Source organism: Homo sapiens, chromosome 3, assembly GCF_000001405.40.
Source record: "Homo sapiens chromosome 3, GRCh38.p14 Primary Assembly".
In the NCBI taxonomy this organism is placed as follows: domain Eukaryota; kingdom Metazoa; phylum Chordata; class Mammalia; order Primates; family Hominidae; genus Homo; species Homo sapiens.
Genome location: NC_000003.12, coordinates 160378019 through 160402274, shown reverse-complemented (window position 1 = coordinate 160402274; position 24256 = coordinate 160378019). Strand labels below are relative to the sequence as shown.

Sequence of the window (24256 nt, the reverse complement as noted above, 5' to 3'; positions counted from 1 at the left end):
GTGTTAAAATCATATGAAACGTGTGTGTGTGTGTGTGAGAGAGAGAGACAGAAAGACTATCAGGATAAATAGGGAGTGAATGAATTTTAGGATAGTTACAAAACTGAAACATCTTGTAAAAACGTATTACCTTACAATAGTTATTTAAAAAGTTATAAAATAGTTATTTCCATACAAATACCTTATGGAAAGGTCCCAGAATTTTCTCCCCAGCATAGGATTTGAAGTTCTGGTTTACAATATGAGTTATCATAAGCCGAGGAGCTCCAGCTTCATTGGTCATTGCTGGAGGCGGGGGAGGAGGAATGCTGTTCAAAATCTCTTCTAAACTTCTATTATCAAGTTCCTCACTTGCAGTCTCTAAGTCAGTGAAAGGAAAGGAAAACGAAGGCAAACGGCGGGGGAAAAGCCTACATTAGTGCAATTAGTTCGGAGAACTAATGACTGCCCATCTTTAAAGTAGGGGATGGAGGGATGTTATTTATGAAACTTAGGAGTCTATATTTTCCACTTAAATATGTTATTATCTTAAACTCACGGGGGTGACTAAACCTTCAGCTTGGTTTTACTAAAAAAGAAATTCTTGAAAGAAATGCCACCGGTCACAAAATTCTATACACCTATACCTCTTAAGAGTCAAAACACTACATCATAGAGCAAATCTGGGAAAACCGTAACAAGCTATTTCCTGCTGCCTATCCTAAACAGGAGGTTAAATCCTAAGGCTCTAGATGCAATTCTCCGTACCGCTGAGCACCTGGAACCTTCATTTTGGAAACTCATGAACTTCAGCGACACTGCCACGAGGGTTTAATAATGTCACCCAACTCCTGGACTCACAAAAGCTACAGTGGCTTCAAATAAATTATCGTCTTCTCTTTAACGGCAATCTAACACCACGGAGGTGAGGTTAGGGTCAAAAAACTTTTCATCATGCTCACATAGTCATATTGATTGTCTCTGGGAAAAAAGTCCACTTGCTCTCTTGATTGACCGTCTCGATTTTAGCGGGAATACAATAAAGATATTGAATTTTTGTTTGTGACCTGTACCATTCCACAGGTCACAAACAAAAATTCACAACTGAACCCGTTTGCTCGCCCCCATCCCTTCCAGCGCCGTTACACCAAAATTGCACGGGAATCCTATCTCAAAGTTGCCAAATGGCTTTCCTGAGCCTCTACCGGACCGACACCGGACCTTCAGATGTCAACTCCGCGCTCAACAACCCCAGCCAGCCTCGGGCTGGGCGCGTTTGCCTGCCAGTCCCACAGCGCGCGTTCCCGCCGAGTCGCGGCGGGTCACTCACCTGCGGCGGTGGCTGGGCTCTCCGTGCGGCCGGACGGCGGCTCAGGCTCCGCGTCGCTGCTGGCGCCGTCAGGGGACGGCGGCGGCGGCCCTTCCTCTCTGCGCCGGGCAGTGGAGGGCTGGGTGCCTTTACGGGGCATGGTCGCTGGGGCCGGGGGACAGCCGGGAGCAAGTCAGCCCGCGGGCCGCTACACCGCGCCCGCCCCACCCGGGGAAATCTCGGTCCACCGGCTTCCGAGAGCCCCGCTTAACACTCCGCTTAGAGGCAGCGGGACTTCGGGAAGGGAGCCATCGAAAGACACGAGTGGCAAGAAGGCAGGACTGGTTTCTTAACAAGACCTATGTAAGTGGGAAAATCTAGACGTGCCTGAGGATCAATCAACGATTGAGCAACTGCTTAGTTTGTTGTTGTTGTTTTTAAGGCTCTCCACCCGTCCGCCCATAGTATAAGCGTATAATATTCGCTAACGCATTTCTAATTAAGGAACTCCCATACGCCAGCATTTCCGGACATTCCCACGCTTTCGGGGCCAGGGATGCAAGCGCGCACCGACGTGGAGAAACGAGTTCGTGTCCGGGTCAGGATCCCGTGGCTAGCAACTCTCTCCAGAGCGGTGAAGACTAACTGGCGACTCGCCGCCCGCTTTCGTCTGCCCGCCCTTTAGCTCCTGGCGCCGTTGACGGCCCGGGGCATAACGAAGTCTCCCTCCTCTCAGCGGTCGGACCGCGAAGGGCGAAGGCTGGGACTAACCACTAGCAACTTCAAGTCGGACGCTGGCAGCGCTTGCTAATTTTGGAGTGGCAAGAGTTTGTCTCTCCAGCTCCCCAGGCGGAGTCCCGTTGGACAGTAAACCATGAAAGGTCACCAGCGAAGGCTGAGACCCGGTGACTAGTCCGTTGGCAGAAGGAAGAGGGGTAGGGGGAGACGCCCTTTTCCAGATAGAGACTAGGATTTTTTAAAGAAAAGATCTGCGAGGCTCAGGGCCTCCCCGAGACATTTGAGTAGCTTGGAAAAGTGGCGCCCGGGAGCTGCGCGCGGGAGCCCGGGCCGCCGGGGAGCGGCCGAGGGGGGAGGGGTGACAGCAAGAGAAATCTCCCAGCGGCAGCTTCAAGCCCGGACTTCGCCGCTCGGGCTCAAGGCCTCTATTTTCCAGGCGCTCGCGGACAAGGCAGGAAGTAAGAGCGTGACAACCTGACCAGGAAGAGAAGTACTTTACCTGCAGGACAGTCCACTCAGACCAAGGCTGGAGACGGTTGTGTAGTACCCACCTCCCCGCTCCTACCGGTGTTTCGGCTCCGGGTCCTTCACTCGAAAATGGCGCCTAAAATACAAACTCGAACGGAAATTCGTTACAAATGCGCGCAATGATTTCTGGGATCCACTAATTTGAAAAAAAGTGCGGCGATTATCACCGCCATCTTATTGTCGCTCCTGCGCATGCGCGAACTCCTGGCGGGACCTACGCGGTAGAAGTTTCTACTAAGTGAAAAGGAAGAGCGAGGGATTCTTTTCTCTGTGGTCTACAGCAGCAGCACTATTATTAAAAATATTTGGAAAGACAACCTGGCAAGTTTTGAAAAAGATTTTTTTAAAAACGGTAGGGTTCCGCTCACAGTGGGAGGCGGGGCTCAGTGGTCCAGAAACGCCTCTTCAGAAGAGGGCGGGCTCGCCGAGAGGCGGGGTCTCGGGCCCACTCGGATGACGTGCCGCGTAGAAGTATCGCGGGAAGAGGAAGGGAGCGTAACTCTTAGAAGTCACTATGGTGACGGGGAGGTACCAGGTATTTGAGAGCAATCGCCACCGCTTTCCTGGAACTTGAGGTAAATCCCTTCACCTCTGGACCTGGTGAGAAAAGGGTTTGGAAGTTGTAGCCATCACTGGATCCCATCTTTCCTGTTTTGAAGCTGTGTGCTTCGTGGAGCATCATTTTCTGTCTCCCTGGCGGCAGCGGGGCTCCGGGTGTAGCTTTTGGGATGCGAAGGAGGAAGCCCTAAATTTTAAGGGAGTAGAGAGACAACTGGAAGACCTGGATTCGTGATAGCTTAGTCGACATGTGAATAGCGCAATAATGATTTTCGAGATCATTGGTGTTACTAGTGAAAGGTTTAGGACTTTTAAAATAATTTGACTAAAAGGCTCTTTAGTGGAAAAAACGACTCGCCAGTGTTATGGTTATTTTTATGAGGAAATTATCGATCAGCAAATATTCCCTAAGTAGTGTTTGTATACATTGCCCTGGGTAAGGCATAATTAGAATTAGTAAGCAAGTTTGGCGATTCCTGTTCCCCGAGAACTTAGTTTTAGTGGGTTTTTAACCTGAGGTCTGTGGATCTGGTGGTAGGTGATTGGGCTTCAGAGTTCATAACTCGCCTGACATTGTATACATAATTCTATGTGCATTTTTCTGGGAAGTTAGTTTTCCTACAACTTTATAATCAGAATCTCATACTTGCTCCTAATTCCCTATATTGTTAAAGAGCCACTGGCTCATTTGACTATCTCCAGTATTCATGCAACAACTCTTAAGTACTTGACATTGAGAACTACTAGCCTCCTTTTTTTTTCTTTAACTTTTGCTTACTTAGGGTCTGGCATGTTAAATCACCATTAAATCTCCCTTTTGAATGAATTTACATGATCACTCTAAATACATTATGGTTCTTCCCTGGAAGAGCATGAAGTCAGGTTCAGTGATTCTCAAAAAGGTGTGGAGAGCCACCCCCCTCCCAACCAATTGTAAGAATTTGGTGAGGTTGGGAGACTGGTGTGTATTGCATAAGCGTAGACTCAATATCGTGATATATCTTTATGTTTGAAGTTAAAAACGAATTGTTGTTTTCATAAAACAAGCTACAGAAAATAAACCTTAATGAAAAAAAGTTTTTTGGCTGGTAAGCATACCAAGAAGATATAAGGATTATCTTTGAGGGCTTCTGGAATTTTTGCATTTCCAAAGGTTGTAAAACACTACAAAACCTGAGTTGGGGAGGTATCAACTATGCGGATCACCTGAGGTTGGGAGTTCGAGACCAGCCTGACCAACATGGACAAACCCCGTCTCTACTAAAAATAAAAAATTAGCAGGGCATGGTGGCGCATGCCTGTAATCCCAGCTACTAGGGAGGCTGAGACAGGAGAATCTCTTGAACCCGGGAGGCGGAGGTTGCGGTGAGCCGAGATAGTGCCGTTGCACTACAGCCTGGGCAACAAGAGCGAAACTGCGTCTCAAAAAAAAAAAAAAAAAAAAAAGTATAGACCAAATTGAGTGGTGTATTTGGGGCAACAGAGCACAATGTAGTGGAAAGATGTAATATAGAAAACAGAATCCCAAGTTCCATCATTTTTTAGGTATATGCTTGACAGTTTCCTCAGTTTGTCAATCTTGAGAGTATTTATTTATGAAACTAGCATATAATACCTGTCTCATCATACTGTTTATGATTGTTCATCTAGCACATGCTCCATAAGGATTTGATTTTGCTGTGTTTATGACATTGAACTTATCAAAGTATGCTAAGGATGAATAATGGGATATCAAGTTAGAGGAAGGGTAGCTCCTGAAGGATCTTGAAAACCAAGTCAAGGATGTTAGATATGATATGGAGGAAACAGCTTTTAGAACAATTCTGAGCCAAGGAATGACTTGGTAAATATAGGAAGAATAATTAACAGTAGTTATGTGGGGTATGTTAAAGGGGAAAGAAACTGAGATCAGTCTAGGCTTTAGTTAAGATTGTTACTATATAACAGTAAGTGAGAAGTGCCTAAGTAGGATGGAAAAAAATCTGGAGTCATTTTGGGGTAAAAATCTATAGCTTTTGTAGATTGTGATGGTTCAGAGTATAAACCCTTGAAGTCAGTCATATACTATTCTTTGTGTATCCTTGAATTAGTGATAAGGTATAGGAAGAACGATAAGTCACAGAAAATATAGTTTTGATAAATCAACTGACTGATGGCCTTAAATTTAATTGAACCTAACCATTGCCCACTCAGAAAACTATTTTGAAAAGGGGCATAAACCAGGTTGTATAATGAGAAAACATAACAAACAGCTACAGAGTAGACTTAAATCTGGAGATTTATATATACCACAAAAATAAGACATTCAGAATAAGTATAAATTTTGAGAAGATATTAGAGTCACAAGAAATAAAGACTTTTGGTTGATTGTTGCCAATATTTTGGACATGTCTCATGAAATTAACAGAGTTTAATTACAAAGAGAAGCTGGCCTACCTGGAAAAGACTGGGTTACAGTCATTTTGGAAAGTATTGCTATAACTGGGTCTTATCTTCCTAGTCTAAAATGATCTGTCAGTAATCTCTATCTGCAATTTCAGGCAGTCTTAGAAGGAAAACCTCACTTTTTACATTAGAAAAAAATTATACCCCACAGGAAGAAATAAGTTCAAAGAGAAAAATTGGAATTAGAATTAAAATCTTCATTTTCAGTTCTTTAAGTGCAAGGTTTTTTCATCATTTTAACAATATGTGTTTTGTTTGCCTTCTAATGTCATAACATTTCAGAAAGGCTGAAATTAGATTTCTGAGTAAATATTTTAAAAGATTAAATTTGTAATTGTAAATATTTAGATAAATTAGATATTAACTAATATGAATTTATGTAAGTATTGTATAAATATTTAGAGAATATTGTTCAAGATTAATAAATTAGATATAGACACAGTGCAGATAGAAGTGAATATTCCTCTTGATAATATAAGCACCTTGGTATATTAATGTTACCGAAACACACATAACTTATCACCGAAAACCCAGGAAGCTAGAAGGCAGAACAGCTCTTTTTTGGAAATATCATTTTGAAAGATAAGTATGTTTTTATTCCGTAGGTTGGAATTCTGGAAAGATATATTCAACAAGCAGTAGAGGTAGAGAGTATGGCTTAAGAGAGAAAATAAAATGGGTAGTGCTGTAAGAATAACTGGATCACTAAAAATAGGTTAGGTTTTTAAGATTGTAAGTGGAGAGAAGCTAGCACCAGACCAAGGATATTAAGGAAATGTTCATTTTTAGAATGTAAGAAGAAGAAATAATTACAGTAATATCTAGGATAGGAGCCTGTTGATTACAAGTGACAGAAAACCCAATCCAAATTGTCTTGAGAAAAAACAAATATTGTCTCCTGGAACTAAAAAGTCAGGTGACTATAACTGGATTAAGGGTTCAGACAAAGACACAAGGATTTGGTTTCTTTCCTTGCTTTGAACTCCATTGTGTTGGCAGTATTTTCAGGTTCCGTATGATGGCCTCTAGCACCTTTTGGCTCTCCCCTTGCTGTGGTAAGATAGCTACAGCAACTCCAGCCTCATATCTTCTAAAATTAAAATCCAAGGGGGAATGAGAGTTTCTCTTCCCCAGCATTGATTTGAATAAAAGTCCTGGGCCACCTGTGAAACAGTCTGTGCAAAGGGAATGGAATGCTCTAATTGGCTTAAGTCTGGGCCTCATGCCACATGGGCTAACAGTGAGGAAGTGGTTGTTGCAAAGAGAAATTCTTTTTAGGTGGGAAAAGAGTGACTATATATATGCAGGGTGAAAAAACAACTTTCACTGGAAATACTAACATTTATTAAGTGCTTACTGTGTATTGGGTACTCTACTGGACACTTTACATACTTTATCTCATTTAATCATCATAACTAATTTGTCAGGTAGGTATTATTAGCCTCATTTTACATAAGAAAGTAAACAAAGTATAGTATCTTCATGAAGATAAGCCAGGTGAGAGTTTTAATAAGAAGGGGATTCAAGTGTGGAGAATGGTGATCTTATAAAAATATTATTTATTAGGGTTTTATAGAAATGCAGAAATGCATAAAAATTAGGTCATAATCCTTTCACTCAGATAATTCTATATTAAATATATAAGTGGATAGATTAAATAATACTGTGAGCATTGTTGAAAACTTCAAACAGAACAGAAACATATAAAATTAGAATTTAAAGCTTTCCTTCTCATCCCAGTGCCCCCACCCTTTTAGGGGTCTCCATTATTAAGTGTCTTGCATATCTTCCCAGAAAATGTTTTGGTATCCACCAGCTTAAATATATCTCACTTTTTCTTTTCACAAAAGGAATTGAATCATATAATACAGCTGTATACCTTGGTTTTCTCATTTAACATAGACATCTTTCTATATCAACATGTACAAATTCATCTCATTTTTAAAATAGTTTTTTTTTTTCTTTTTTGAGATGGAGTATCACTCTGTCGCCCAGGCTGGAGCGTAGTGGCACAATCTTGGCTCACTGCAACCTCCACCTCCTGGGTTCAAGTGATCTCTCCTGCCTCAGCCTCCCGAGTAGCTGGGATTATAGGCGCCCGCCACCACGCCCAGCTAATTTTCATTATAAGTATAGCCAATACGAATAATATTGAAGTATGGCTATTAATCATAGCTAGAATTTCAAGGAAATGTAAATACCACAGCGTACACATACACTTTCGCAAATGCATACAGGAATTGAGATGGGGTGGGAGTTGGAGGTCTTTACTAATTAAACCATGGTTGTCCAACCCACGATCCATGGGCCACATGCGGCCCAGGACAGCCTTGAATGCAGCCCAACACAAATTTGTAAATGTCCTTAAGACATTATGAGATTTTTTTGTGATTTTTTTTTTCTTTAGCTCATCAGCCATCATTAATGTTAGTGTATTTTATGTGTGGCCCAAGACAATTCTTCCTCCAATGTGGCCTAGGGAAGCCGAAAGATTGGACACCCCTGATAAAGTAAACGGCCATACTGTTTGCTGTGGCTAAGCCTTTGAGTCCGTGCCTGGAAATGGTGAGCCTGCTTCTCTCTCTTTTCTACTGTACAAGAGATCTCAGCTCAAGTGTGCAAGTTCTGTGATGGCACCAATCTGAATAAAAGGCTTGCCTTTCTCCTTTCTTCTTTCTCTATTGGAGAAGAGACACAGGAGTCTGGTCAGAGCTATCAATTTAGGGGACCGTTGATAAAAACTGTACTTCTTTTAATAGGACCTTGGTTAGTAATAAGCCAGCCTGCTTTCTCTATTAACTAGTATGCAAGTGACCCAAAGAAAACTCGGTATAAATATGCTTGTGATCTAGCTCTTGAATTTCTTATCTATTCTTCACATTCTTGTTCACTACTAGAGATTTTTCTGCCACTTCTTATCTATAGGTACATTCTTGTTGACAAGTCATGGTCTCCCTGTTTATCATCTAAAATTTTTCTTATTGTTAGTGCTTTTACCTCTTAGTTTTATTTCCTAAATCTAATTCTTTTATTTTCTTTTTTAAAAACCATCTTTTTTTTAAAGTGTACAGTTCAGTGACATTAAGTATATCCACAGTTGTGCCACTGTCACATCCATTCATTCTTCCATCCATCCACAGAACTCATCTTGCAGAACTGAAACTGTACCCATTGAACAATAACTCCCTATTCTTCCTTCCCCTAGCCCCTGGCAGCCATCATTCTACTTTTTGTTTCTATGAATTTGACTACTCTAGGTACCTTATATAAGTGGAATTCATACAGTATTTGTCCTTTTGTACTAGCTTTTTTCAATTAGCATAATGCTTACTTAGGTCTAACTCTTAATTATATTTTCTTGATTTTAACCCTTCCATATTATAAACACATATATCCACACAGGGATGTAAAATCTATGAACATTTAAATTTCTAATTTTTGATAGTATTTCAGAGTTCTGTAATGAACAGATTTGAATATACAGACAGTCTCAGACTATGATGGTTTGACATGATTTATATTGACTTTATGATGGTGTGAAAGGAAAGCACTTTTCAGTAGAAACTGTCTTTAAATCTCTGGGTGAGATAGGAAGCCACTGAAGAGTGTTCAGCAGTGGTTTATTTAATCTAATTTATATTTTTTAGAGACAGGGTCTCACTCTGTTGGCCAGGCTGGGGTTCAGTGGCATGAACATAGCTCACTGTAACTTTAAGCTCCTGTGCTCAAGCAGTCCTCCTGCTTCAGCCTTCCCAAGTAGCTAGGACTACTGGCATTCACCACCATGCCTGGCTAATTATTTATTTTTTTGTAAAGAAGGGGGTCTCACTATGTTGCCCAGGCTGGTCTTGAACTCCTGGCCTCAAGCAGTCTTCCTGCCTTGGTCTCCTAAAGTGCTGTGATCACAGGTGTGAGGCATTGTACCTGGCTGTGGTTTATTTTAAATCAGCCACATGGGCTGTTGTGGTGAGCATACATTGTAGAGTGGCTCAGAGGCTAATTAGGAAGCTGCTGTAGTAATTCTGGTTAAGAGAAGATGGCATCTTGGATTGCGGTCATAGTGGAGGCGGTGAAATATTTTACATTTTGAAGATAAAGCCAACAAATGTTTTTATTTACAAGTTGGATTTGGTATGTGAGAGAAGAGTAAATGATGACTTAAGTTTTTGGTGTTTGTAACTGGAAGAATGGAATTGCCATTTACCAAGATGGGTAAGAATGTGGTAGGAGCAAAGTTGAAGGGAAAATCACGGTTTTGATTTGGATCTTGTTAAATTTGAAATGTCTGTTAGACATTCAAATAGAGTTGTCAAATAGATATAAAAGTGTGGGGTTCAGTGGAGAGGTATGAACCAGAAATATGAAATTAGTAGTTGTCACTATATGGTGAATATATTTACATTCATATTAAGCTATAAAACTGGATGAGTTCACCATGGCAGTGAGTGCAGATACAGAAGAGGCACAAGGACTGAGCCTACCATTTAAGGCTGGGGATATTAGGAGAAAGTAACATTTGGTTATTCCCTCTAATTCTCTGTAGTTCCTTTCCCTCCTTAAACTGCTAGTGAAGTAAATGCCAACACCCTTATCAAGATTGAAAAGAAATCCCACATAGTTCCATATGCTGCTAGAGGACTGCCCCTTTTTCCCTTATGAAAGTCTGTATCAATGCTGCCTAAGAGAGCAGTTCCAAGAAGGCTATGGTTTAAATTGATTAGCCACCTTTTCTCAAGAGACATTTGGGACTACTGTGTCATACCTTACATCCCTGTTTACCTCAGTCTCCACATTCAAGATAATTCCCTGCATTAGTTTGTTATTAGGATTAGCTGTTGATGACAGTAATTTAAATACGATGCAACTATTCTCTATCACTTAAAACTTTGATGGTACAGGATTGATGTGACTTTCCACAAGGTCAGAAATCTTGGCTCTTTTTTATCTTGCTGTGTTATACATGGCCTTGATGGCATGGCATGGGGAGTGTCACTCTTCCGAGTTTTTATTTGCCAATTATGCTGTGATTTTATATAACTTTTTTTTTGAGACAGAGTCTCTCTTTGTTGCCCAGGCTGGAGTGCAGTGGTGTGATCTCGGTTTACTGCAACCTCCACCTCCTGAGTTCCAGCGATTCTCCTGCCTCAGCCTCCTGAGTAGCTGGGATTACAGGTGTGTGCCACCACCCCGGCTAATTTTTTGTATTTTTAGTAGAGACGGGGTTTCATTGTGTTAGCTAGGATGGTCTCGATCTCCTGACCTTGTGATCCACCTGCCTCGGCCCCCCAAAGTGCTGGGATTACAGGCGTGAGCCACTGTGCCGGGCAATTTTATGTAACGTTTATAAGAAGTAATGAAATGGGTTCCTTAGATAACTCACTGTGAAATTAGGCAATGTGAACTTAGGTACGTACTATTACTGTTGGGCAGTATATCTGATGCAGGGCAGGCAAGCTCCAAAACTGGGGGTTAGCCCAGGAGTGTTCTTGGGATGGCCCAAGAAAGAATTCAAGGGCAAGCTGGTGGTGTTATACAGCAACTTTTATTGAAGCAGCAGTGTATAGCAGCAGCAGAGGTACTGTTCCTTGCGGAGCAGGGCTACCCCATAGGTAGTGTGCCCAGAGGAGCAGCTCATAGGCACTTCTGCAGTCATATTTGTGCCCACTTTTAGCTATATGCAAATTAAGAAGTGGGCTATGCAGAAATTTCTAGAAAAACAGGTAACTTCCTGGTGTTACCATGGCAATAGTAAACTGATATGGCATACTGATAGGCATTTCTTACAGAGAGGTGCTTTCACCTCTTCTGTGTTTTAGCCAGTCCCCAATCTGGTCCCGTGTCTGAGCTCTGCCTCCGGAGTTGAGTCCTGCCTCTTACCTCATTTCTACCCCTCACAGAATATAAAATCCAGATTGGGCCAGTAGGTTGATGATATTATAATAGCCACTGTTGGTTTCAGTATTATTAATGCCTTGTGTGGCCACACCTAGTTTCAAGGGCAGCTAGGAAACATAGTCTTTGTTCTAGGTGGCCAGATGTATAGCAAAACTTCAAATTCATACCACAGAAGCAGGGATGAATGGATATTGCAGGATAGCCAGCTGTTTCTACCATCTCCAACCATCTATCTTAAACCATTAGTTCTTCACCATCTAAGTTTTTTTGGAACTCACTGTGTGTCATTAGCCAAATCAGTCCTCCACTTTTATTCTGAATGATCCCTTTACTCTCAAAGTCTAACTTAAATCTGGTTGTTTCCTAAGGAAACTGCTTTTCTTTTCTTTTTCTTTTTTTTTTTTTGAGACGGAATTTCACTCTTGTTGCCCAGGCTGGAGTGCAATGGTGCGATCTCGGCTTACTGCAACCTCTGCCTCCCGGGTTCAAGCGATTCTCCTGCCTCAGCTTCCTGAGTAGCAGGGATTATAGGCATGCACCACCATGCCCAGCTAATTTTTTATTTTTAGTAGAGACAGGGTTTCTGCATGTTTGTCAGACTGGTCTCAAACTCCCGACCTCAGCTGATCCGCCCGCCTCGGCCTCCCAAAGTGCTGGGATTACAGGCATGAGCCACCATGCCTGTCCCTGGAAACTGCTTTTCTTATAGATCTCTCAAGTAGAAGCTATTTTGCCTCCCAAACTCCCATATGTCAGAGTTTTATCTCTCGTTACTGTATCTGGACAGTTGATTCTGTTTCTCCTTCCTGTCTAAAATCTCCTGGTCCCTTTGAAACAAGTCCAGGATGTGGAGAAATAGGAACACTTTTACACTGTTGGTGGGACTGTAAACTAGTTCAACCCTTGTGGAAGTCAGTGTGGCGATTCCTCAGGGATCTAGAACTAGAAATACCATTTGACCCAGCCATCCCATTAGTGGGTATATACCCAAAGGACTATAAATCATGCTGCTATAAAGACACATGCACACGTATGTTTATTGTAGCACTATTCACTATAGCAAAGACTTGGAACCAACCCAAATGTCCAACAATGATAGACTGGATTAAGAAAATGTGGCACATATACACCGTGGAATACTATGCAGCCATAAAAAATGATGAGTTCATGTCCTTTGTAGGGACATGGATGAAATTGGAAATCATCATTCTCAGTAAACTATCGGAAGAACAAAAAACCAAACACCGCATATTCTCACTCATAGGTGGGAATTGAACAATGAGAACACATGGACACAGGAAGGGGAACATCACACTCTGGGGACTGTTGTGGGGTGGGGGGAGGGGGGAGGGATATCTTTAGGAGATATACCTAATGCTAAATGACGAGTTAATGGGTGCAGCACACCAGCATGGCACATGTATACATATGTAACTAACCTGCACATTGTGCACATGTACCCTAAAACTTAAAGTATAATAATAATAAAAAATTGAAAATCATTTTTTAAGGATGATTTCAATCACCATTTTTCTATATAAATCTAAGTAGATGACTGAAAATCATTATGAGATCTATTTAGAAAAAGGGTAATTATCCCCATCACTTCTCCATTTAACAGTTCAATTTGGCCTGTTCTTAAGCCTGGAAAGGTTGAATGGAACCTCATAATGGCTTATCTCAGCTTTAATTCTTGGTCCCACCCATTAAGGCCCATGTATTAATTTCATATTATTGCTGTAACAAATTACCATAAATTAAAGGGCTTTAAATACCCAACTCTATTATATTACAACTCTGTAGATGAGAAATCTGACTTGGGTTATGTTGATATCAAGGTGTTGACAGAACTGTGTTTCTTTCTAGAATCTCTAGGGGAGAATTTGTTTTCTGGCCCTTTCCAGCCTCTAGAAGCTGTCCTCATTACTAGGCTTGTAACCCCTTTACATCTTAAAAGCTAGCAATGGCCAGTTGAGTCTTTCTCATGTCACATTGCTGTGATGCTGACTTTTCTTCTGCTTCCCTCTTCTACATTTAAGGGCCTTGTATATTTATTTGGGTTCACTGGATGATCCAGAATAATTGTCCTATTTTAAGATCACTGGAATATGAAATTTACTTTCCATATGAAACATTAGTTCTTTTTAGCTACCTAACGTTTTCTCTCTATATATATTTATATAGAATGTATTTATATATTATTAATTACATAAATATATTTTATGTAATATACTTATATGTTACATATATAATAATATAATATGTATATTTATAGGTTCTGGGGGTTAGGACATGACATCTTTCTGAGACCATTATTTTGCCTACCACGGTCATGATGTATTTTCCTTAGTATATATTGCTAGATTCTGCTTGTTAAAAGTTCCTTAAGGCTTTCCACATTTTTGCTCCTGAGGGATATTTTTCTGTACTTTTCTTGACTTGTGATGCCCCTGTCCAGTTTTGATATCAGAGTAATGGTGGTGTATTGATGCAATGTTCTGGACAATGTTTCTTAGGCTTATCTTTTCTGGAAGAGTTTGTTTGTAATTGATGTGATTTTTTCATTAAATGCTTGGAAGAATTTGCCACTGAAAAAAAAAAAAAAAGAAACAAGTCCTACCAGATTAAACCATTCTCTGCTGTGCTTTTATGCGGTCATCTGCATATGTCTTTGCTCTTCCCTCATTCAATGAATATTTTAGCATGCGGCTAATTGTCCTTATCTCTACTACTATTCTTGTCATTATCTTGACATCATTAAAATGTCCACAAATAAATCCCTGGCCTGTCAGTTCCTTGACCTCAGCCACCCACTTTCACAGTCATAACCTATCTTATCATTACCAATATCTATACTGGCTCTAAAATCTGTTTTAAGTATCCCATTGTCTATCTCCACTTCTTTTTGCTAGTTAACTTCTTCTGGAATCTTAATGCCAACAATTCTAAAGACTTCAGTAGGATTTCCAGGCCATTGAATCTACCACTTTTTCATAGTCTCTTTGGTAATTTCATCTTATTCCATGGCTTTGAATATGATCTTTTTGCTGACAACCCTCAAATTGATATCTAATTGATATCTGCAACTCCAACTTCCCACTTGACTCCAGACTTACTGTATTATATCTCATTTCTCTTTGACTTCTCCATTGGGTTGTCTAATAGAAACCTTGCACTTAACATATCCAAAACAGAATGTTTGATATCACCCCATTCCAACCTGTTTCTCAATCTTCCTCATTTCAATAAATGGCAACTCCATTCCACCTATTGAAACTTTACAGTCATTTTTTACTACTGTTTTTCTTTTTTGTTTTTTGAGACTGAGTCTCACTCTGACGCCCAGGCTGGAGTGCAGTAGCGTGATCTCGGCTCACTGCAACCTCCACTTCCCGGGTTCAAGCTATTCTCCTGCCTCAGCCTCCTGAGTAGCTGGGATTACAGGCATGCGCCACCACACCCGGCTAATTTTTGTATTTTTAATAGAGATGGGGTTTCACCACGTTGGTCAGGCTGGTCTCGAACTCCTCACCTCGTGATCCGCCTGCCTCGGCCTCCCAAAGTGCTGGGATTACAGGCGTGAGCCACCGCACCCGGCCACAACTGTTTTTCTTAAACTGAATTCACCAGCAAATCTTCTGGAATCTTTCCTCAAAATATATTTAGCATATGACTACTTCATGCTACTTGTACTGTTGCCTTCCTTGTCCTTTATCTAAGTCACTTTCATTTCTCTTTTGGGGTATTGAAATCCTAACTGGTCTTACTGCGTCCAGTCTTATTCATTTTCCCTCCTGATAGGCTCTTTTTTGTATACCATCCATTGCATCCATTTAAAATGTAAGTCAGTTCATATTGCTTATTTGCTCATAACTTCTCCACTGGCTTCTTGGTTCATTCAGAAGAAAAACTAAAGCTTTTATTATGACTTTCCAAGACCCTGCATGTTGTGTCCCACCCTCTCCTTCCCTAATTTCCTGCCAGTCCCTCACTCATTTTATTTTAGGCATACTGGCCTTCATATTCTGACTTAGCTTTAAAAGAATTACTGGCTGGTGTATTTAGAATAGTTTGTAGGGGTAAATGTAGGAATAGGAAGATCAATTTTGAGGCCACTGCAATAATTGAGGCAGGGGATGGTGGTGGCTTTGGATTATGATGGAGGTGCTGAGAAGTGACCAGATTTGCTGTGTATTTTAGTGGTTGGACTCTCAGATTTCGTTGGGCCCATTTTTTCCTCTCAAGCCTCATAAATGTTGACCCACACTGGACCAAAAACAACTTATAAATGATTTTTAGTAGCAAAGACATGGTTGCTGCTACTTGCTCCCTATGTAAAGTTGCAAAGTTACCTATACCCTCAAAATTGTCTTTCTATTATCTAAACCCAACCCCTGCCCCAATACCACTGGTTAGTCAGATCCTCATGATCAATCCCTTTAGGCAGATAAAAACACCTCAATGCAGCGTTCAGGCAGCTCTGCACTTCCCCAAATTGGCTATGTTTTAACATTACTTTTCTTTTATTCCCTCATTCAATCCCACATGAAAGTACACATGTCATTCATACAGATGGTCTCAGATAAATGGAATTGTGTGAGGAAAATCTTTCTGAGTAAGGGAGAATCTTCCCAGTGTTAGAATGCCATTGTCTTACTTTCTCTGATTCCTTGGCATGATGTTTCTGAATTGTTAGTGATTCCTTTCTTGTAAAAACCATACTGCTTCTACTATTTATAGAGGATTATGATTTATTCTCATCAGGAATTATCCTAATTATTATGGATTTTGGCAGTTTGAGGTTTTCTGATGTAGAATAACATCATGTCTTTTAAGTTTCTGATTGTAATAGTATATTCAGTTTTTATGTGTATTGTTGTTATCTATTGTATTCTCATTTCCAGAAGCAAATATTTATCTGCCTTTCTTCTTTTAAAATCCTTATAAGCTGAGTAAATTTCAATTATTGTGAAAAAGCAGCATTTCGTAAAATGTTATTAGTCTTTTTTCCCCTGTCTAATTGGTGGGGGCCTGATGGAAGAGGGAGTTTGGAGGAAGGTGGAGAACTCCTAAAGACCAAAAAAGTGAACTTAAGAAGTGTGCCTGGGAGACGTTGTATTCTAGCTCTGGCTGTGCTCCACATAGTTTCATACTTTTGAAGTTCAACAGAAATCACCTTAAGAGAACTGGAAGAGAAAGAAGTGAAAAGAGTGCTTTGAAATACAGCTTTATTTAGTAGCTTGCTGATCTAAAGGTTCTTGGATTCATGAGAATGAGAAATTATCTAAGAGAGGCCTACTGAATTCTTATCTATAGTCAGTACCTCCTTTGATGTAGTTAGCAGTAATTTTCAACTTAGTAAAGAGGATTTTTTCCCTTTAATTACACTTTCATTTGATTTACATTTGCCTAGTTAGGTTAGTGATGTTACTCAGAATTCTGTAAATGTAAATCGGACTCAGACAATTTAGCATTTTCTTGATTTCTCTTTTTTTTATACAACAACTATATTCATAGCAATGATTTGTGTCTTTTGATGATATGGCTGTTTGGGGAATGTTATTCTTCTTTTCCTAAGTTTTTATGTGGCAATTACACTGTGATTTTTACATAACTTTTATAAGCAATTTATTACCTCTTCCTTAAATAAGTCACCTATTTTTCACATTGTCACTGTGGTAACCGTAACTGTTGGGCAGTGTATCTGCCCCACTGCAGAATGTCAACCCCAGATTGGGCCACTAGTTTTATGATGTTGTATTTTTCCACATGGATTCTAGAATTGTAGCTTAGCCCTCAATCACACCTTGGATATTTGTATCCAATAGACAGGACCAAAATTGATTTGCAATTGAAGAGTTCCCAGTTTGTGGAATCTTTTTATTTGGCCTCAGGACATGGAAATTCTTTACCTGACCAGATTTACCTAGTGGTGTTCTGCGTAGATCTGTCTCAGGCAGGTTTAGAGGACTCCTGGGGTTCAGCCCAAAGCTCTCCGTCATCCCTTGTTAGGATTGGCACACCCACTAGTTTTTTTTCTCTTTCCATGTACTTGATGTCAGAAGGACTGAAGGTGCTCGTTGGGGTGCAATGATGTTTTGTTTGCCTTTTGTGTTTGTATACGTACATTTGTTTTTAATGCTGACTTTATATTTTCTCTCCTTTTATTTTTACAGTAAATACAATCAAGTGGCATCTTAAATTTTTGCTGGAAGTGGAGTCATGAGACTAAAGATATCTCTTTTAAAAGAACCAAAGCATATCCTTTTAATGCTTATAAATCTTATTGGATTTTCTTAATTATAGTATTGTTAAAAGTTTCTCTATTTTATATCCTAGTTGAAGAATAGATTTTTTTTTTCATTCCTTTAGTGGCTGTTTACCTAAATTGTTTTAAAGTATTTAAGATCATGTGTTGTAAGTAATTCTCCAAAGTGAACCGTTTGCTATAAATCTTATTTTAAAATTCTTACTGACGTTTTTCTTACTCTACTTAAGTACTATACTTAAATACTTAAAAAGCAGTTTTTGTTTACTTTAGTAGGATCTTAAAAAGAAGCTTTTTTTTTTTTTTTTTGAGACAGAGTCTCACTCTGTCACCCAGGCTGGAGTACAGTGGTGTGATCTCAACTCACTGCAACCCTCTACCTCCTGGGTTCAAGTGATTCTCCTGCCTCAGCCTCCTGAGCAGCTCAGATTATAGGCACCCGCCAACATGCCCGGCTAATTTTTGTATTTTTAGTAGAGACGGGGTTTCACCATGTTGGCCAGGCTGGTCTCGAACTCTCGACCTCAGGTGATCCACCCGCCCCAGCCTCCCAAAGTGCTGGGATTACAGGCATGAGCCACCGCGCCTGGCCAAAATGAAGCATTTTTTAAACCAAACTGTTTCTTTGCTAGTGTGATCTAGCATGTATTCATTCCACTGTGCTCTATTTCTTTACATTCATGATAAAGTGAAGGACAAGTTGGGGAAATCTGAGCAGTCAGATCCTCATTATTTCACATGGGAAGGTGGCAATTAATAATATTTTCTCAAACACATGACCCTATATTTTGTCAGCAAGAGTCCCCAGTTATGTGTCAAGGAGATATGACAGGCCCCACTATCATCATTCTTAGACATTTAGACTAATTCTGCTCAAAGTATCCTTTGTAGACTTTATTGCAGGTCTGTGAAAGAATAGGTAAATAAATTGAAAGTAAGGGCTGAGAAATTTTTGTAGCAATTTGACATTGTTATAATGTCCAATTTTTCTAATATTTTATTTTTATTGTATCTTACGAAATATCCATATGCAATGGATTCGAAATAAAGAAAAATCTGGTCCTTCATCAGAACTAGGAAAGCACTGATTTAAACATTTGGTCAGACATTTTAAATTGGTAGGTGTTTTCATTTATATTATCTTGTTTGCTTATTTAACTATTAAGTGAAGATGTAATTATTTTTATTCCCCCTTAAATAGTTTTTACTGTCTTTTCAAAAAAAATGTGCTTTCAAGAGTTCACACCATACACAATTTTATAGATTTTGACCATGTCTACTGTCTGCCTTTACCTTTCAAGCCAAAGAATAACAATGTTTTTAGACTTTCTTGATCTGGCAGTCTTCTCATTTCTACGATAATTTTAGTTGACCTGTGAGTTTGAAGATAATGTCATGGACGTCTGGCATGTACTTATAGCAATTTATATAAGGATAAGCTAATGATTTTTGGTTTGAGATGTGTACATATTTGTTTGTGTGAGTTTTCTTCCTTTCTAGGTTTTACCTAAGCTTCTCCCATTTTAGGTTTTACCTAACATTGTTTAGGCGACAGCAATAATAATACAACAGTTTTTTCAGGAATGGTCTGTTGTCCTTTTGTTTAGATTGTGTTTTGAGTTTTGAGTATTCTGGTGTCTCTTTATTACCTTTTTGTGCAGACTCTTAAGATCTTTCTATAATCTCTCTTTATCTTTTTGGTTTCTGCTTAATCTATTGTATTTTGAAGTATTAAAAAATCTTGGAACATCCTAGAATAATTAGGCGCATTGTCTGCATTTCCTTAGAAAAAGCAATTGTATTATTGCTCAGATAAGACAGTAAAAGTATTGGTGAGAAAAGAAGGAAATAAAAGGATTATATCATAACAATAAGAACAAACAACTCAACCAGGAATAATCTGGCAATATAGAAATCCAGACGTAGCAAGAGAAAACATCCTTTGTAAATAACAAACTGAAATGCCTTTTAGGTACACAATTCTGCTAGGGTAATCACCCTGTCCTGATGGAGGAAGTGAGGGCTACTTGAGCATCTCAGCTTACATAGAAATTCTTCTGATAAATTAGAGCTGAAAAAATGGGTTAAATAAAGTAAAAATTTGAGGGATCATATCTCATCCAGCACTATGCATCTTATAAGTGAAGTAAATTATAATTGAATTATTTCCTAATTTTAATGTAGGAAAGTTTGGTATTGTCAATTAAAAATAAGTGAAGAAATAAAATGAAAAATTTAAAAAAAGTTTGGTAAGATTTTAGTTTCAGCTGTTAAACCATAAGTTCTTTCCTAGGTGAATTGTTATGATAATATGTGATTGAAAAGGATAGCCTACTGTTAGATTTCAGTCTTGTTTTGACACTTGATTATTTTTTCCTTAGCAAAAGAATACATGCTTATTTTAATAACTTACATGATACAGACATATATAAAGAAAAAAGTATAGTTCCCTTTGCTCCCTACCTATCCCCCAACAGTTCAGTGTAGATTCTTTGATACCTTTTGATCTACTAAGTCTCTTTTGTATACCTTTTGGCTTTGTGTATAGAATATTGTATAACACAAGTTTTAAATTTTCATGTGGTCAGATCTTTTCTCCCCCACCTTTTGGCATCTGGATTTCTTTCTTGCTTTCCATTTTTACAATTCTTTTAATAGATGCTTATTTTCTTTTATATAGAAAAAAATACCAGTCATAAAATGGAAAATACATTTAGAATCTTGAAACCATTTGACCCTATTTTACTTATACCTTATAATCTGCATCTGTGAATTATTCATTAAGATTAAAGACTTTTGTATGTTTTATGTCTCTTTAACATGGTGACACATCAAGAATTAGTAAGCTGTGTGGGCTGGACTACTGCTGAAGAGCTGTATTCATGTAGTGATGATCACCAGATAGTGAAGTGGAACTTGTTAACCAGTGAAACAACTCAAATAGTAAAGCTTCCTGATGATATTTACCCTATTGATTTTCACTGGTTTCCAAAAAGTTTGGGTGTAAAGAAACAAACCCAGGCAGAAAGCTTTGTCCTCACAAGTTCTGATGGTAAGTTTTAAATAAACATTATATGCTCGCCATTGTATTTAAAAGACTTAATAGTATGATTTATGCTTTGAGTTGTTTTACAAAACTGGTATTTGTGGATCTGCATATTTTTATCCACATATTGTATTTCTTTTCTGAATAGTCACTTGGTTTGTGTATGGGCTATGAAATTATTGTCATGGAAGAAAGTTAGTTTAACTGGCATATACTAGGATTGAATATGGGTCTTTGGCTTTAATATATATATATATATATATATATATTTAGAGATGGGGTCTCACTCTGTTGCCCAGGCCAGAGTGCAGTGGTGTGATCATAGCTCACTGTAGCTTCAAACTCCTGGGCTCACACAATCTTCCTGCCTCAGCCTCTTGAGTAGCTGGGACTACAGGCACACACTATTACATCTGGTTAATTAAAACATTTTTTTTGTAGAGACAGGGTCTCATCTTGTTGCCCAGGCTAGTCTTGTACTCCTGGCCTCAAGCAATCTTCCTTCCTTGGCCTCCCAAAGTGCTGGGATTACAGGTATGAGCCACCATGCCCAGCTGGCTTTACTTTTTTAGTACTCTTATGAGTTGAGTTAAGCTGTTATCATAGTTTTAGTTCCTAAATTCTTCAAATTTAACTTAATATAACCACACTGAAAAGATATACCTATTCATTTAGTAAGGTATCTGTTAAAATACATACTTTATTTTCCAGTACATGTTAATTTTCAGTTACAGAGTTGAAGAGTTTTATAATTTGACCGCAGCTTTCTTATTGGTGAATAACAAGTATGATTTTTTTTTTCACTTTTTAAGGGTATGTTTTTATATTTGTTTTCTTAGAAATACGTGAACTGTTTTCATCTGTGTTATACTTTACCTGCTGTTTCAATTAGGAGTACATTGATTGAAAGTAACAGAAACTTATTTGGCTAACTTAAGCACAAATGGAGTTTTTTGGTTCACCTAGCTGTAGGGGTAGATCAAGCACTAGTTGCATCGGGTCCCTGTTCTCACCATCTCTTGGGTAGACTCTCTGCACATGGTGAACATGATGGTGAGTATGACGGTGGCCAGTAGCCCAAGGCTCATCATACTTTGTAAGACTGCTTCTTCCTCAGTATCTCGTGCAGGCAGCTTGCAGAGGGACCCTTAATGAGCTTGGGTCATATGCCCATCACTGAGTCAATCAGTTTAGTCAAGAGAAATGGACTTTGGGAGGCTGAGGTGGGCGCATCATTTGAGGTCAGGAGTTCGAGACCAGCCTGAGCAACATGATGAAACCCCCGTCTGTACTGAAATACAAAAAAATTTTAGCTAGGCATGGTGGCACATGCCTATAGTCCCAGCTACTTGGGAGGCTGAGATAGGAGAATTGCTTGAACCTGGAATGCAGAGGTTTCAGTGAGCTGAGATTGCGCCATTGCACTCTATCCTGGGCACAGAGCAAGACTCCGTCTCAAAAAAAAAAAAAAAGAAAAAAAGACAATGGGACACTGATTGAGCGTATCCAGCCTCAGGCCATCCACATGCAAAGGAAAAGAGAAAGAGAAGAGGGCTTTTGTAACCTGAAGATGGAAAGGATGTTAGGACAAACAGTAGTATCAGATTACACCTTATTTACCGAGAGACTTGTGGTAGTTTTTTAAAACTTTGTTTTTCAGAAACTTGATTAAATGAGATACATGTGTAAAATCACTTGGTAGAGTGCCTGGCACTTAGAAGATTGGCCCTGAACCACAGCTAGAATTTAGTTTACCTCAGGTGATAAAGGGAGTGTTTGACTTAAACAATTATTTTGATATAATTTTGCATTTACAGAAAAGTTTTAAGAATTGTACAAACAATTCCTGCATGTCCTTTATCCAGATTCACTAGTTTAACATTTTGTCCCATATATGTTGGGACAAAGTATTGGCTCTGTTTCTTTTTACACAAACCCTCCTCGCCCCCAGCACACACCCTTTTTCTGAAAGATGTGAGAGCAGTTTGCAGACATGTACTTTTAACCATGAATACTTCAATGCATTTCCTAAGAATAAGAATTTTCTGTTACATTGCCACAATTTGTTGATAAAAATCAGGACATTTAACACTGATGCAATGCTATTATCTAATCTATAGTTTATATTTAAATTTTAACAATCATTCTAATTTTCCATAGAAGTTTATTTTTGCTGGTATAGGATAACATATTGTTTTTGTTGTGTCTCTTTAGCTTCCTTTAATCTGGAACAACTCTTCAGTCTTTTGTGATCTTGACAGTGTTGAAGAATATATGCCTGTTATTTTATAGTTCTTCAATTTGTTTTTGTCTGATGTTTCCTCATGATTAGATTCAATTTATATGTCCTTAGCAGGAATACTCGGGGCATCAGACTAGGAGATTTATGATGTTGGTTTGACCCATTATTGGTGATGTTAACCTTAATTATAAGTTAATAAGTTCATGTTCATTAAGTTAATCTCTGTAAAGTTACTATTTATTCCTTTTAATAATTTATGAAAAGATACTTTGAGACTATGTAAAAATATTATCTTCTTCATCAAACTGCCTCCCACTCTCTTAGCATCTATTGATGACTCTTGGCTGAGTCATTTATTACTAAGATAGTTTGCCAAATGGTGATTTTTCCAACTCCGTAATTTCTTCCATATTGATTAGTTGGTATTCTACTCCAAGGAAGAGCTTCCTGTCCCATGCCCATATATTTATTTGTTTTTTTGGGGTCAGATTAGACTTGTAGATTCTCATTTTATTTCATAAATATATTATTATTATCATTTTTAAATTTTGATGTTAAAAGTGCCCTAGATTTGGCCAGTGGGAGCCCCATCAAGCCAGCTACAGTGATTTTTTTTTTTTAAATTTTATATGTGTTCTCATAATTTTTTGAGCACTTCCTTGCTGGCACAAGATGTTCCAGGCTTATCTTGTACTTTCTTAGTCCCAGCCCCCAAATCAGCCATTTTCCACAGAGACCTGTTCTTTTTCTGGTGGTTGATGGTATTTAAAAAAACAAGATAACAGTGCTAGCTGTGCTCATTCCAATGGGGTGTATTTGCTTCAAGGCCCTTTCAATGGACAGAGCTAAGAACTGTGAATATAAAACCTTGAAACAAATAACATAATAGACATATGTATATAGTGCTATGATAAATCAGAGGGGCATAAAATTCTGTTGTGATGTGGCCAAGGGAGGGTCAAGAGAAATGTCAAGAAAGTCTTCCATTTAAGCACAATTTTGCAGTCTTTACTTTTTTTTTTTTTTATAGGCTATAAAAAAGCTGGAAAAGGTATAAAGGAGAAGAACCAAAATAATAAAATGGATAATCCCAAGTTTAAAATACTTGCCTTATATAATTTTATACTGTGTCAGGCAACAGGTAGACAAAAGCAAGCCACTTAGTTGCAGAAGTATGTACATATATTGGCAAAAAGTAAAAACACTGTAAAACTTTAAAGGACATAAGCTAATTATATAAGAGATGTC

General features: G+C 38.9%; 2 protein-coding genes and 1 long non-coding RNA gene across 12 annotated transcripts in view, besides 4 other annotated features; 2 read left to right on the top strand and 1 right to left on the bottom strand.

Annotated features, from left to right (window-relative positions):
• SMC4 (structural maintenance of chromosomes 4) overlaps window positions 1–2625 on the bottom strand; it is a 35304-nt gene extending 32679 nt beyond the window's left edge. For 2 of the 6 annotated variants that reach the window (NM_001002800.3, XM_006713459.5), the window contains exons 1-3: window positions 2526–2625; window positions 1310–1453; window positions 182–360 (exon numbers count right to left, since the gene is read on the bottom strand). In NM_001002800.3, the coding sequence (NP_001002800.1) occupies window positions 182–360; window positions 1310–1448 (318 nt within the window). In that variant the 5' untranslated portion in view covers window positions 1449–1453; window positions 2526–2625. Of the gene's footprint in view, window positions 1–181; window positions 361–1309; window positions 1717–2525 lie in introns of those variants that run through there. The other 4 variants (XM_011512311.3, NM_001288753.2, XM_011512312.3 and 1 more) reach the window with 4 other exon arrangements.
• TRIM59-IFT80 (TRIM59-IFT80 readthrough (NMD candidate)) overlaps window positions 1–24256 on the top strand; it is a 258294-nt gene that overhangs the window by 83473 nt on the left and 150565 nt on the right. For 2 of the 3 annotated variants that reach the window (NR_148403.1, NR_148402.1), the window contains exons 3-4: window positions 17629–18838; window positions 20557–20772. The exons of the other annotated variant lie outside the window; for it this stretch is intronic. This is a non-coding gene — a long non-coding RNA (TRIM59-IFT80 readthrough (NMD candidate)). The remainder of the gene's footprint in view (window positions 1–17628; window positions 18839–20556; window positions 20773–24256) is intronic. 3 annotated transcript variants of the gene reach the window in all.
• Window positions 1475–1544: a silencer, noted in NCBI's record as "silent region_14855". NCBI's record gives its function as "represses an Ori minimal core promoter by ATAC-STARR-seq in GM12878 lymphoblastoid cells {active_cell/tissue: GM12878}" and the evidence as "EXISTENCE:reporter gene assay evidence [ECO:0000049][PMID:35858748]".
• Window positions 2582–2944: a silencer, noted in NCBI's record as "fragment chr3:160117119-160117481 (GRCh37/hg19 assembly coordinates)". NCBI's record gives its function as "represses an EF-1alpha promoter that drives an FKBP-Casp9 reporter gene in an ReSE screen in K562 erythroleukemia cells {active_cell/tissue: K562}" and the evidence as "EXISTENCE:reporter gene assay evidence [ECO:0000049][PMID:32094911]".
• Window positions 2582–3204: a biological region, named in NCBI's record as "ReSE screen-validated silencer GRCh37_chr3:160117119-160117481".
• Window positions 2885–3204: an enhancer, noted in NCBI's record as "active region_20757". NCBI's record gives its function as "activates an Ori minimal core promoter by ATAC-STARR-seq in GM12878 lymphoblastoid cells {active_cell/tissue: GM12878}" and the evidence as "EXISTENCE:reporter gene assay evidence [ECO:0000049][PMID:35858748]".
• The window catches only part of IFT80 (intraflagellar transport 80), a 142240-nt gene continuing 121033 nt past the window's right edge, over window positions 3050–24256 (top strand). Inside the window, exons 1-4 of one of the 3 annotated variants that reach the window (NM_001190241.2) lie at window positions 3050–3129; window positions 17629–17869; window positions 18771–18838; window positions 20557–20772. Coding sequence is in view for 1 of the 3 variants with exons in the window: in NM_020800.3 (NP_065851.1) it covers window positions 17675–17711; window positions 20551–20772 (259 nt within the window). In the remaining 2 variants the exon portion in view is untranslated. Of the gene's footprint in view, window positions 3130–17628; window positions 17870–18508; window positions 18839–20550; window positions 20773–24256 lie in introns of those variants that run through there. The other 2 variants (NM_020800.3, NM_001190242.2) reach the window with 2 other exon arrangements.